At 39.2% G+C, this 14945-nt stretch overlaps 1 protein-coding gene across 2 annotated transcripts in view, besides 1 other annotated feature; it reads left to right on the top strand.

The window, feature by feature from the left end:
• PUM1 (pumilio RNA binding family member 1) overlaps positions 1-14945 on the top strand; it is a 134212-nt gene that overhangs the window by 47555 nt on the left and 71712 nt on the right. For both annotated transcript variants that reach the window (NM_014676.3, NM_001020658.2), the window contains exons 4-5: positions 11061-11169; positions 12132-12310. In NM_014676.3, coding sequence (NP_055491.1) covers positions 11061-11169; positions 12132-12310 — 288 coding nt within the window. The remainder of the gene's footprint in view (positions 1-11060; positions 11170-12131; positions 12311-14945) is intronic.
• Positions 8065-8194: an enhancer, noted in NCBI's record as "active region_637". NCBI's record gives its function as "activates an Ori minimal core promoter by ATAC-STARR-seq in GM12878 lymphoblastoid cells {active_cell/tissue: GM12878}" and the evidence as "EXISTENCE:reporter gene assay evidence [ECO:0000049][PMID:35858748]".

The raw sequence follows: 14945 nt of genomic DNA, 5'->3' as shown, positions 1-14945 counted from the left end.
GGCCAGGCTGGTCTTGAACTCCTGACTTTAGGTGATCCACCACCTCGGCCTCCCAAAGTGCTGGTAATTCAGGCATGAGCCACCGCGCCTGGTAAAATTATATAGCTTAAAAAAACAAAAACAAAAACACTTGCTTTGAAAAGAGTCTCTCAGCAGCAATTTTGTCCTTGCCCCTACTTCCACAGTTCCTTTTCTTACCATTTCACATCTGGATTACTACATTGGCCTCTTTGCTTAGACTCCCAATATTCATTTGCTTTCCTTCACCCCATTTTATGGAGGACTGTCAGATCAATCTTTTAAAGATAAATTTTATAATGTTACTACTGTTGCCTATTGGATTAGAGCCCTAGGGGTGCTTTTTGTAGTCTCACTGACAGCTGACATTAGTGATTTTTCACCCTCTTCTTATTGCTACCCTGTGTTGATGGCCAGTTTCCAGGTGGGCACCTGCTCCACTTGCTTTCATTTCTGCCTACCTTGGTTCATTGTAGAAGGTCCTTTGCACTGTCTCACTCACTCTAAATCAGGGTTGTCCAGTCTTTTGGCTTCCCTGGACCACATTGGAAGAATGTGATCTTGGGCCACACATAAAATACACTATCACTAGTGATAGCTGATGAACTAAAAAAAAAAAAGAAGAAAAAAATCGCAAAATAAAATCTCATAATGTTTTAAGCAAGTGTATGAATTTGTATTGGGCCACATTCAAAGCAGTTCTGGGCTGCGGGTTGGACAAGCTTGCTCTAAATTCTGTCCCCTTCTTTAAGATACTTCTTGACCATCCTATCCCAGGTTCATTTCTTCATTGGTGTGGTTGGTTACTCTTCCTTTCTTCATCTGTAGTAGGTTGTGAATTTTAGCAGTCTATACTCCATTATTAGGCAGTGTGCTTATCTTAAAATTACGTGTCCGTTTGACTCTGGTTTTTCTTTTTAATCTTTTAAGTTCCTTCAGGGCAAAGAATGTCTTTTACTGCTTTTTTTGTTTTTTCCAATAGTGGCTAATGCAGGCTGTGCATTTTAGGGTGTGTGCAAGTAGTACTTTTGGGCATCAGCAAGTACTTCAAATACTGAAATTTATTTTTTCAATAGTCAGAAAAGCAGTGTTGATTTCCCAGTTGTGGGAGAGAAGATCAGATTACCTCATCTTGTCCTATACTCTGCGATCTCCTTGATTTCATCCTTAGTGGAGGAAGTGTTATTTAAAGGCATTAGATACAGGTATCAACAGTGCTTATAAAAGGTGCTTAATAACCTGGGAAAACCTTTAAAAAATCTGTTAATTTATATACTGCATAATTATAATTATGCAACAGATTAAAGTTTGCTTTTTTTAAAAGCAGTATATTAGATTTCAGCCAAAAGAGGCATTTTGTTAAGACACCACCATGTCTATGGTAATCTGTTTTCAGTAGTAACCATTTGAAACAACAGGGTAAAAATTTTAAGCAGTAATTACTGCATGCCAGATTGTGATGATACCTAGTAGAGAAATATGAAGAAAATTATTGGAGATGTTGATTCTTAGACAGTTTTTTTGGTGATTTGAATTAAATTAATGAGAACACAAATTTTAACATTTAACATCTTTACATGTAAGTATTGAGTAACTGATTAAAGTGGATGCACTTCACTCTGCTTATATGTAGATTATTTTTAATACCATGAATATATACATATATATAAATGCAAAACGAGAATTTGGAAGATCTTATTCCTTCACTGAAAGAGAAGGTGAAAACTTAAAAATTCTTTGCTTTATATACTTATTTTTAATTAAAAAAACTGGCTTGTGATGGAACACTCAACATTTTTAACATTCCTTATTTAAGCAACAATTTTCAAAATGAGTTGGAAGTTTATTACAGGTTGGGTATCTCTTACCCAGAATACTTGGGGCCAGAAATGTTTTGGAATTTTTTGATGTTTGGAATATTTGCATAATAATTACTAGCTGAACAGCCCAATCTGGAAACGTGAAATCTGAAATGATCCAGTGAGCATTTCCTTTGACTGTCACATTGGCAATCAAAAAGTTTTGGATTTTAGAGCATTTCAAATTTTGCATTTTTTTGGATTAAGGATGCTAAGCCTGTATCAGCTTGCTTAAAAATATTTGAAATTTAGGACATGAGCTCTCTTCTTAAAATTGCTATTAACTTTTGCCCTTTTGAAATTGTATTGAAGTGGCCAGGCGCAGTGGCTTATGCCTGTAATCCCAGCACGTTGGGAGGCCGAGGCGGGTGGATCACCTGAGGTCAGGAGTTCAAGACCAGCCTGACCAACATGGAGAAACCCCATCTCTACTAAAAATACAAAATTAGCCAGGTATGGTGGCGCATGCCTGTAATCCCAGCTACTCCGGAGGCTGAGGCAGGAGAAATGCTTGAACCCAGGAGGCGGAGGTTGCGGTGAGCTGAGATCGCATCATTGCACTCCAGCCTGGGCAACAATAGAGAAACTCCATCTCAAAAAAAAAAAAAAGAAAAAAAAAGAAAAATAAATAAATTACATTGAAGTGGCTGGGCGTGATGGCTCACGTCTGTAATCCCAGCACTTTGGGAGGCCGAGGTGGGCAGATCACGAGATCAGGAGATCAAGACCATCCTGAGTAACATGGTGAAACCCCGTCTCTACTAAAAATATAAAAAATTAGTCAGGCGTGGTGGCAGGTGCCTGTATTCCCAGCTACTCGGGAAGCTGAGGCAGGAGAATGGCGTGAACCCAGGAGGTGGAGCTTGCAGTGAGCCGAGATCATGCCACTGCACTCCAGCCTGGGCAACAGAGCGAGACTCCGTCTCAAAAAAAAAAAAGAAAAAGAAAATGAAATTATGTTGAAGTGAAATGTATCTGCTTGAGAGATATGCCTTATTTATTTGCAGTGAATTTCAGACCACCATAATCTCAGTTTTATTTATTAGAGAATTAGTTGAAAATCATAACAAAAGTATATTTTGAATTAAGTAATCCACAATCCCAGTGCACTAACAAACACTCTTCTGCTTTTATTTTTCTTTCCAGTCTTGATCCAAAAGGGAAGAATGCATGAGGAGAAGCAGTCTTTACATGTACAATTTTGTATTTTACTTTTAAAATTTAATGTTATTTTATAAATATTACATGTAGTCATTATGGCTATTTTTGGTGAGCTTACATTGTTGTACTACAACTTGTTTGCTTGCTTATTTATTTATTTAAAGAGACAGGGTCTCACTATGTTGCACAGGCTAGTCTTGAATTCCTGGCCTCAAGTGATCCTTCTGCCTACCAATATGCTGGGATTATAGGTGTGGGCCACTGCACCAGGCCCACAGCTAATTTATTGTTGAATACTTAGTTTGCAGTTTGCTTTCAACTTTTTTTTTTTTTTCTGAGACACAGTCTTGCTCTGTCGCCCAGGCTGGAGTGCAGTGGTGCGATCTTGGCTCACTGTAACCTCCGCCTCCTGGGTTCAAGTGATTCTGCTACCTCAGCCTCCCGAGTAGCTGGGATTATAGGCGCCTGGCCACTACGCCTGGCTGATTTTTGTATTTTTAGTAGAGACAGGTTTTCACCATGTTGTCCAGGCTGGTCTTGAACTCCTGACCGCAAGCAATCCGCCCGCCTCAGCCTCCCAAAGTGCTGAGATTACAGGCCTACTTTCAACTTTTTTAATTCTTTTTTTTTTAATTTTAATGTTTAAAAATAGAGATTGGGTCTTGGCATGTTGCTCAGGCTGGTCTTGAACTCCTCAAGTGACCCTCCCACCTCAGCCTCCTAAAGTGCTGGGGTTACAAGCATGAGCCACTGCATCCAGCCTCGACTTTTTTTTATTTTTACAAGCACTTTGAATGTAGATTTTTTTTTTTTTTTTTTTTTTGGAGACTGGATCTTGCTCTGTTGCCCAGGCTAGAGTGCAGTGGCACAATCATGGCTCACTGCAGCCTTGACCTCCTGGGCTCAGGTGATCCTCCCACCTAGGTCAGCCTCCTGAATAGCTAGGACCACAGGCATGTGCTACCACACTTGGCTTTTTTAAGTTTTTGTAGAGATGGGCTGTCACATGTTTTCCAGGCTGGTCTTTAACTCCTAGACTCAAGCTATCCTCCTGCCTCACCTCCCAAAGTGCTGGGATTGCAGGAATCAGCCATCATACCTGGCTGTGACTTTTGATACGTATGTAGTTTCTGAGGCCCTTCCAAAAGAATTACGCTAACCAGGAATGAATGAACTTGGCTTTTCTTAAAGATATGTTTTAATAAGTTAAAGCTTTAAATAAAGCTTTAGTATAACTTAATATCAGTATAGTTCTTAGTATTTATAAAAGCACTTCATATACTATCTCACTTGATTTCACAACAACAGTCTGTGGTATGGAGAGACTACATAAGTTGTGAAAAATACAAAATTTTTACAAGTAAGACTACCACCTGTGATTATCAGTGGTTACCAATCAAACTTCCTCATTTCAGTTAGTTCTGAAAGGTCCTTTCTCTGAGTTGATGTCATCTTCTCTTAATGTACTGAGAGTGTGGTGAGATATATACTAAGAGATTAATAATTGTTTTGGTTGTTGGTCTGTCTTACCAGCTAGTTAAATATCAAGCATTTGTTTCCTGCATTGGCTGCATTCCAGTGAAACTAAGCTTGTGTTGTAAGTTAGAGATGCTAGATAATAACATGATCAAACTGATCACGTCTGCAGGGTTGTAACATCCATGTTAGTAGTATTTCTTAAGATGCTCAATTTCTGCTCTGAGAGATGCTCTGTGCAGCCTGTATTGAGTGTGTAAGCAGTTACCTAATATTTTATTCCTTTTGAGTACAGAGTAGTTGCTGGAGAGCCCTTTTACTGTTGAGATCATCAGTAAACCTCATTGATAAATCCCTATTCAAATATTAGTGGCGGTATGGTCAAACAAGTCCAGGCAATAATTGTCTTGCCTCTGCAGTTCCTGAAAAGCCGTAATCATGGTTCTTGTAGTGTTGTTTTGTTGGGGTAGTTAATGTAATGAGGTTTGTACTGACATGGCCTAGGTGATGCCATGATCACTGTGTCTGATAGTTTGACATAGGAGCATTTCATTGACAAATCATTAGTATTGTGATGTCTATTGGCTGCTACTTTGCTCTTTTAAAGAAGGATAGTAGCTGATTTTTTGTTTACTGTTTCAGCATTGTATTATGTCATTACATGTGTTATCTCTTTCATTGTACACAATAGGTCATTTTATAGGTGAGAAAAAGCAGAAGAGGATAAAATTCACACAGCTGGGATTTAAAACTAGTTTAAAATAAAGTGATTTCAGAGCATTCATGGGTCTTTATCACTGTTCTTAAAATAAGAAGCTTAGAGTTTCTTGATATTCTCCACTTTTTATTGTCTTAATCCATGTTTTAAGGGTTCTTGGTGTAGGGGTTTATGACATGATTGATTGTTAAGTGTTAAGTGTGGTTTTGCGTATTGTTCTTTTTTGTTAGATGGAAAGGAAAAAAGGTGTTTCCAGACAAATTTAAAAGAAGTGTCTCAAGTGGCTGACATTGCTTGTAAACCAGTGCTTGACTTCTATTTTGTTTTCCAGAAGCCTCATAGATAAGCTTACTGAATTTTTTTTTTTTTTTTTTTTTTACTTTTCATAAGTTTTTTTATTTTATAAACTTACGATTCAGGGTGGGATAAACAGTGTACGTGTGTGTGTTTCTCCCAGAGATTTGAGAGCACACACTATTGGTGGGGCAGTTAGGAATTCCACTTAATGTTTCATTACAAGAAAGAGTACAAGGTCTATTTATTTTATTGCTGGGGATGATAGGACTCCCCAAGTCATGGTTCTCAGTTTGTAGATCTTGAAATGGACTGTTATTACTAATTCAGATGACTGGGTTGCGATATTGACCCCACACTAACCAGAACAACAAGAGGCTAATGTATGAAAACCAAAATGCAGTCTGCTGATTTTTTTTTTTTAAGGAAAAAAAACAACTCTTAGATGGACAAGGATGGTTGTGTTTGGTGATTGGCATGGTTGGCTATAGGAGGAAGCCAGTTCTTTAAGAAGGTGGCTTGGTAAGCAGAGTTGGAGCCAGGGAGATTACTTGGGTGTTTTTAGTGTCCAGTGTAATTAAGCTACTATCTAACCAGATGCATTAATTGCTTTGATAAGAATAGGCTTCTTTGTGCATCATATGCCCTGCCCTTAAATGTGTCACCTGGATAATACTGGCTACATCTGATTCCTTGGGTCTCTTTTGCTTTTGTTGGACCAATTCCTAATTCCTGTTATCTTCTTTTGGAATTGTCACATCATTTAATCCTCTTACTGCTAAGTTATTCTTTAAAACAAACTCTACATCTCTCTTGTGATCTGTTACTTTTCGCCTTGTCAAAAAAACTAGTCTTTATTTCCAGATTCTTGATGGGGTGGATAGGAACTATCTTTTCATAGGTTGGATGCATTTACATTTTTGGTTATTGTGTGTTAAGTGAAGATTTGGCAACTGCTGGTATTTATGCCAGTGGGTTGGCAAACTAGGATATTTTACCCAACGCTGTGGATGATGTTACCTCCAGAGAGCTTACTGTTGAATTTGAAATTGTACTTGGATAACACATTATCATTTGGTTTTATAATTCAGTAGTTTCTAACTCCTTTTAATATGATCAGATTTGAACAGTTAGGTATCTTTTAGCTGACTGTTGAATATAAGTGATTGCTACTAATTCTCAGTAAGCTCAACATGTCTAAATTGATTTGATTTTGCCGAGTTAAAAAAGCCAGTCTTTTACTTTTTTTCAATTGAAAAGGATTTTAGTTTCATCACTTACATTTAAATATTAGAAATGGAACAAGAAGTGTTTCTTGAAAACAGACTCCTAAAGAAGTGTTTCAAATATACAAAAATACTTCCACATATTCACAACAGTGTTATTGCTGCTTAACAAATCACCCTAAAATTTAGTGGCTTAAAACAGCACAGTGTGTGTGTGTGTGTGTGTGTGTGTGTGTGTGTGTGTGTATTTTAAGAGATAGGGTCTCACTCTGTTGCCCAGGCAGGAGTGCAGTAGTGTAATCGTAGCTCACTGCAGCTTCAAACCTCTGGGCTCAAGGAGTCTTCCCACCTCAGCCTCCTGAGTAGCTGGGACTGCAGGGGTGTGCCACCACTCCGGACTGATTTTTAAAAAGTCTTTTGTAAAGCTAGAGTCTCGCTATGTTGGTTGCTAAGTCTGATCTTAGACTCCTGGCCTCACCCTTAGAAAGCACTGGGATTACAGGTGTAAGCCACCACGCCCTGCCTAAAACAAGACAGTTGTTTAAGCCTCATAGTTGCTATAGGTTAGGAACCTAGGCATGACTTTCCTGAGTCATCTGCTTCAGGGTCCTTCACAAGCTGCAGTCATGATTTCAACTTTGGCTGCATTCATCTCAAAGCTTGCTTGGAGAAAGGTCTGTCTCAAACTTGCTTGGAGAAAGGTCTGTTTCCAAACTCACTCATGTGGTATCAACCATCAGAATCCATTCTTTGCTGGTTGTTGGACGGAGGATCTCAGTTCTTAATTGTGTGTAAATGACCCAGGGCAGAGGCAGAGTTCAGTGGGAAGCTGCGGAGCAACAGCTTTGTATATGTAGCTGTTGTCCAGAGATGTCTCTCTCTTGGCTTCATGTGGCGTCTGTATAGGGCAGCTCACAACATAGCAGCAGTCATCATCAGAGTAAGCAATCAGGACAATAGATAGAAGAGGACAAGCAAGATGGAAATCACAGCTTTTGTAACATCTTGAAAGGAACATCCCATGACTTGTCTTATGTTATTTCTTAGAGGCATGTCATAGGTCTAGCCCACAGTCAGGGGAAGGGGATTACTCAGGGTATGAGTACTTGTAAGTGAAGATCATTAAGAGTCATTTCAGATGCTGCTAACCACAGCAGTTGAGTATAGACGCATATGTTTTGGAGGAAAGGGAGAAAGACTGAGTAAGATTCAGAGACTTTTAAGAGCTTTGCTAATTTTGCTTCTGTCTTTGCCCAAGCACCTTGGTTCAGTCTTTTGCTTTCTTTTTTTTTTGCCATAGTGGCAAAAACCACACTTTTGCACCAACCTAATAGCACTTTGCTTCATGTTTGCTGTATTGTTGTTTCCTTTTGAGAGAATTTACCCTGAAAATAGCCTCGCTTATGTGTTCACCTGCTTCTCCTGGCTTTGCACATTATGACAGCCTGGTATACTATCATGAAAGGTGACAGGATCCCAGAACTGATTTTTGAAGCCTTGAGCTGAAAGGCTGCTGCTTTCTGTAAGCAATTTTACAAATTATGGATAAGACTATATTTACATATGGAGGCTGGTACTTTTGGAAACTGTTCCTTGAGGTGTTTTTTTTTGTTTCTGTTTTTGTTTTTTTTTTTTTTTTTTTTGAGACAGAGTCTTGCTCTCTTGCCCAGGCTGGAGTACAGTGGCGTGATCTTGGCTCATTGCAACCTCTGCGTCCCTGGTTCAAGCAATTCTTGTGCCTCAGCCTCCCGAGTAGCTGGGACTATAGATGTACACCACCATACGCAGCTAATTTTTGAGTTTTTTAGTAGAGACGGGGATCTTGCCATGTTGGCCATTCTAGTCTCGAACTCCTGACCTCAGGTGATTCACCTGCCTCAGCCTCCCAAGGTGCTGGGATTACAGGCGTGAGCCACCATGCTGGGCCCTGTTCCTTGAGTTTTAAATAAACATTTACAAGTTTCTGTGAGGAATGAACTCTTAAAACATTTAAAGGACAAGAATGGTTTTGATCACCTTAGCGTTCTTTGCACTGTTATGTGGAGCATAAAACAAGTGAGACCCTCCTTAGGCTGACATTCTTTCTTCTGGAATACAAAAGAGTAGTTGCTTTTGCTTTGCACAAAATACGGGAGAAAAAAAATCAGAATTTTAATTGGAGAAAGGGTATAACCAATGAGGAAAGAAATTTTATTTGTAATCTTCGGACAGGATTTTTTTTTTTTTTGAAGATGGAGTCTCGCTCTGTTGCCCAGGCTGGAGTTCAGTGGCATGATCTTAGCTCACCGCACCCTCCCACTCCTGGGTTCAAGCTAGTCTCCTGCCGCAGCCTCCTGAGGAGCTGGGACTACAGGCACACACCACCACGCCCGGCCAATTTTTTTTTTTTTTTTGTATTTTTAGTAAAGACAGGGTTTCGCTGTGTTAGCCAGGATGGTCTTGATCTCCTGACCTTGTGATGCTCCTGCCTTGGCCTCCCAAAGTGCTAGGATTATAGGTGTGAGCCACCGCGCCCGGCCTTGCAGGGGACAGGACATTTTTGAGACTAAAAGGAGAAAAATAAGTTTAAAAATAATTATTGAATTGTCCTTTGCATAGTTTACATTAATTTTCAGTATCCCCTCTGTGACCTGGTTTGACCGCTGTTTTGCCTAGGTGTGATGTTTTTGAATACATTATTGAGAACCTGTTGTGCTAGGCACTCATCAACAATATTTCTAATCATCACAGCAACTTGAACGATATTTTCTTCATCAATAAAAAGAGAATGAGGTTCAGGGCAGTTTAGTAAGATTTCCTAGGGCACTTCAAAGTTGTCCAGTTTAGTGCTTCCCGACCCTAATGCTACCCTCGATCGGGGCTCTTTCCCATTTTACCCTGATCCTCACCCTCCCCCAAATGCCCTTAGGGTAATAAGTGGTACACCAGGAAGACTGCTACTTATAACTGTTCATTTTCAAGGAAACTTAGGTATCTGTGCAATTAAATACCAGACAAATGTTTTTTTTTTTTCTCAATCTTGTTTAATTAGTAAACAACAAATTAGGTCCTTAAGAGCAAAATGTATGGCAAACTGCTTTGGTCCAGGCAGTAACCCAAGTCCATGAGATAGATTATAGAGCCACTTAAAGGTAGATGAAAATTATGCCGAGAAACCCAGAAATTAGATTTGGGAAGCAGAGATTTATTTTAGTGAGAGCAGAGTTTAATTATTTTTCCATTATCATTGGGTTATGGGTTAAATGGGAAAGTTAAACCTTTATCGTCAAGGAGAGGAAATGTTTTGTGCTTTCTGGTTTTTTATTGTGTTCTTCTGAGAAATTCAACTCTCCAGGTATTTTTGTGCTCAAAAATGGTGGTTAAATACTATCTCAAACATCTTAGTTTCCTGTGTAATAGCAGTTGAAAACATAATTAGAGGAAATAAGAGGGGGCATTTTAGTCAGTAAAGCTGATGACCAGAACCAAGAATGATAGAGTTCTGTGGAATTTTACTTTGTAAGCCTGGTCACTGGTGCTTTGATCTTATGCAAAACTGTACTGTGTCTTGCTTGAAGGGTACTTTGCATTTTTTTGTTGAAGCTAGTATAAACTTCTCATGTTGGCTTATGGCCAGCGATCCCTGTTTCTCTGAAGCATGGAGTGATTTGTGAAGTCACTTTAATGGCATTACCAAGTATTGTTAAAAAATTAATGGAGGTTAGAAGATTTTATTTCCCTTCCAGTAATGAAGGAATAGCTTTTCTGTCCTTCCAAAATCTTGGAATAGGTTAGTGTTGTGGTTGGGAAGTATTTTGGTTAATGGAGTCTCTGTGTATAAAGGAAGTGAATTTTGCCTCTGGCATTCCATAGCTGAGGTTCATAGCTGGTTCATGCTCCAGCTTGAGTAACTTTGTCTGGTAGTTAGTACACGTATAGAGAGAAGTGTTTTAATAGTTGTAAATACTTTCTTTTTCAGTAAGAGTCCACTTAGTAGTTAGCTAATAGGGTCACTGTTAGTTCCCTTCCCCACTCCTTAAAAATCTTGGCATGGGTTAAGCGAGTAATTCTAGATATTTAAGTTCAGCCTCTATTGGATGGTTTGATCAGTGTCCCCACCCCTGCCCCCCACCTTGCCTTAGGCCTCTCTGTGACTTTTACCAAATATATAGCAGTGTTCTGACCACAGTTGTGTAGTTGGAACACTTTAATTAAAGACCTTCAGGGCACGTGAGCATCTTCAGTACCCTTGTCTAAAAGAAAGTGTTGACTGCTGTACTTTCATCCTTTATGAATTCTTTAAAAGCATCTATTATTTTTAATTTGCAGCAGCTCTTGCCAGGTAAAAAGTTTTGGGAAACAGATGAATCCAGCAAAGATGGACCAAAAGGAATATTCCTGGGTGATCAATGGCGAGACAGTGCCTGGGGAACATCAGGTAATCTAGATCTAGCATCTGTACTGTGATTTATGCCTGTCTTAGAGCTCCTTTCCTCAGCAATTGGCAAGTCATGAATTTTACATCAGTGACATAAGCATGTCAAGCAGTGTCCTCTCCTGTAGTATAATTGCCATTAAGGAGCTTATATGATGTAATTTATTAAAACATAATTAACACAAAATCATATCTTCAATATTTTTTGAAGTGCTAGCCACAGGGGAATGGTCTTATTTGAAACGACCATAATTTCAGCTGTAACGTTTTGTTCTGTACTGCTGTCAGCATACTTGGAATTAGAAAATCCACACCTGCCATTTGAAGTTCATGTTTCTTTTTCTCCCCTTGCCCTTGTGTACCGTGTATGGAATGATCTATCTTTAAACGTGATTGGGACCAAATCAAGTCACTGGGCATGGACATTCTTCTGGCATACTACCCCTGAAGAGGGATGGGGAGAACTTATAGAGGCAGACACACTGACAGCAGAAAAAGTGACAGATGATAGGGAGGAAGGAGACAGAAAACCCAAAAGCCAATGTCGTGTATTACAGTACAACGTAAGCATGGAACCTCATGATGACAGTGAATTATCAGAAAAGAACAAATTATATTGTTTTTAAAAAGGGCAGTAAAATCATATTTTGTTTTAGTAATACTAATAAAATATATTAAAAAGAAATCCTTTTACTTATAAAGGGGTAAAAATTTTATCCACTCAGCTAGTTAAACCAGATAAGCTAGATAAACTGTTGTATTCCTCTGCTATCCTGGATAAATGAGGAGTGTGTTCCATTTCCTTAGCTTATGTTGAATATCATACAGTGAGGGACATGATAGGAGGTTTTGGCTCAACTGACCATGGCAAGTTTCCTGATTCCATTGGTTATCCATGAGACATCACTCATAATTTGTTTGAGCCTCTGGCTGCACTGTATCATGCTTGTGTATCTTTTTTGTAGATCATTCAGTTTCCCAGCCAATCATGGTGCAGAGAAGACCTGGTCAGAGTTTCCATGTGAACAGTGAGGTCAATTCTGTACTGTCCCCACGATCGGAGAGTGGGGGACTAGGCGTTAGCATGGTGGAGTATGTGTTGAGCTCATCCCCGGGCGATTCCTGTCTAAGAAAAGGAGGATTTGTAAGTTGGCTTGAGGAACTTGTTCCTATCTCTCTCTCTCTCTCTCTCTCTCTCTCTCTCTTTTTTTCCCCTAAAGCAAAACATGCCTGTTTAGTTTCCTTAGATGTTCACAGCATTAATTACAGGGTATTTTCAAACAACGTTTGTTGTAAATAGAACTCAGCAAACATAGTAGGAGATGTAAACTCAACTTTTAAAAACTAAAGTAATAATGTTTTGGTGGGGGGACACATTGATAGTATTGTGAGATAAGAACTGAAATCTGGATCAAAGTTCATTGGTCTATCAGAAAACACCATTTTTACTTTAAAATAAAAGCAAAAGGGGGGTGGTGAAGGAATTAAAAAAATAAAGCTGATGCTGGGATGTTAACAGGGAATTCCAGATTTGAGAGCAGTGATTTGCCAATACCCGAGAAACCTTAATATAGATCAGATTATAGGGCTATTCTTGTTTTGTTAGCTACGATTTAATTATAGAATCCTCTTTGGCCCTCCTTGAACGGCTTTGTTTCTCACACCTGGCCTGTCAAGAAATTAGGGATTCTGTTAATTCTTTCTTACAAATTTTTTTGATTCATTATCACTGACCTCTCTGATGCTAAACTGAAGTCAAATAAGTCTCTGTGTCTATAGCCTTTTTCTTTTTAAGTCTTAAGCATTTTTCTATGAGCATCTGTGATAGCCTTTCTCAAAACAATTTCTTTCTTTATCATTAACTTTCTAGATCGAGAAGTGTTAAGATGTATTTCCATTTGAGTCTTCCTCATTTTGAATTCTGCGACTGTTGTCATATTCCAGGTCACAGACAGGAAGGCCATGAGAGGCACATGAATCTTCTTCCCTCCCTTTCTCCTGTCTAAACTTGTTTTGTACTTTTTCAAAGACATTTCTCCCTGCAGTCATTTTGGGCTGATATCACCTGAAAACAGTCATTTAAAAGATTTTAATGTAATTTGTGGGAAAGAACAGCAGAAGCACCTTCTTTCCCACAAATTGAGAATTAATATTATAACTGTCTTTCTTTAATAGCATTTGTTGCTCAGTATTTCTTAGTGTTATACATCTTTTGCTGGGTATCAGAGGCTTGGTCCTATTTTCCCTATTCCACATTAAATTTTGTTAGAGTAACAGTAGTTCATTTTTGGTGCAGCTTTCTCAAGTGTCAAGTACAGTTCTTAAGTACTAGCTATTCTAAAGCTGACCTGATTGCTTTTCAGTGTTTTGACCCTGCAGAGACCTAGGTCAGGTTTAGTAGCTTGTGAATCAGATAGGAGATGGCTCCTGTTATTTGAACCTTCCCAAGGGGCTGCTTGGGAAGAACAAGATCTACCCTTTGGATGTGAGTTACTTCTCTTTCTTCACCCTATCCCCAGCTCACCTCTTTTTCTGTCCTCACTCTTTCCTCATCTTATGAGCACAGATTCCTCAGCAGAAATTAGTGTTGTGCATCAGTAGGTTGCTAGTGTGGTGAACTGGAACCTGTGACTCTAGCTGTGAATTCTCTGTCATGTGTGTGATCAGTTTCTAATTCTTGGGCACTAACCAGGAGGCATGTGCCTGCATTACTGTGAAGCTTGTAGGAGGCAGAAAAATAGTTGGAATTAGGAGGAAGATACATGGTGGGATTGAATCATTTTGCCACTTATTTTTCTCTCTTTAAACAGTCATCTCACTAGACGGTTATTTTGATGACAAAAGCTGTATCATTTGTCTTGGGAGACTGGTGATTTACCTCTTTTACAAAAGAATCGTGACAGAGGAGGTTAAGACTTCAGGCTAGATAGATGGGGCCAGAAGATTGGACTTTAACCATCAAGATAATTTACTGAGCTGCTGAGGTATGCATAAAGATAAATGAAAATTCTGAAGTATGCATGAAGATAAATGAAAATTCTCCAAATCTGTGTTCCAGCTTCTTTTAGAAGGAAGATTGTGGGTAATGGAATATTATCCCATAGTTTGACTTAGATTGCATCTATAGAGTGATACAAGAGGACTGATCTAGTGACATCAAGCCACTTGTTGGCATATACAGTCTTCTGGTGGATGGAGACCTGTGGCTCAGTGAACTGATTATTATTGTTATTATTATTGAGGTGGAGTTTCACTCTTGTCGCCCAGACTGGAGTGCAATGGCATGATCTTGGCTCATCGCAACCTCCACTTCCAGGGTTCAAACGATTCTCCTGCCTTAGCCTCCTGAGTAGCTGAGATTACAGATGCCTGCCACCATGCCCGGGTAATTTTTGTATTTTTAGTAGAGATCCGGTTTCCCCATGTTGGCCAGGCTGGTCTCAAACTCCTGACCTCAGGTGATCTTCCCACCTCAGCCTCCCAAAGTGCTGGGATTACAAGCGTGAGCCACCGCGCCCGGCCAGTGAACTGATTATCAGCTTTGTGGTTGTATCCTCTTGATTTTATACCTAACCTGACTTTGCTCTGCCTGTTGGTCAGGATGACACCTGACCAAAGCTCTTTTTGTGGAAGCCTGAATCACTTTATTTTTGTCATAGTATGCATACATCTTCTTGAGGAAAGTGAGCCTTTTCTTTTAAAGTCTAGTCTGTCATTTAAAGTGTTGAATTCAGAGAACCAGGAAGATAGGATTTCTGCTTCTTGTAGATAATTGTTCT

The sequence above is a fragment of the Homo sapiens genome, chromosome 1, assembly GCF_000001405.40.
Source record: "Homo sapiens chromosome 1, GRCh38.p14 Primary Assembly".
NCBI lineage: Eukaryota > Metazoa > Chordata > Mammalia > Primates > Hominidae > Homo > Homo sapiens.
Note: the sequence above shows the minus strand (reverse complement) of the source record. Positions and strands in the feature narration are given on the sequence as shown.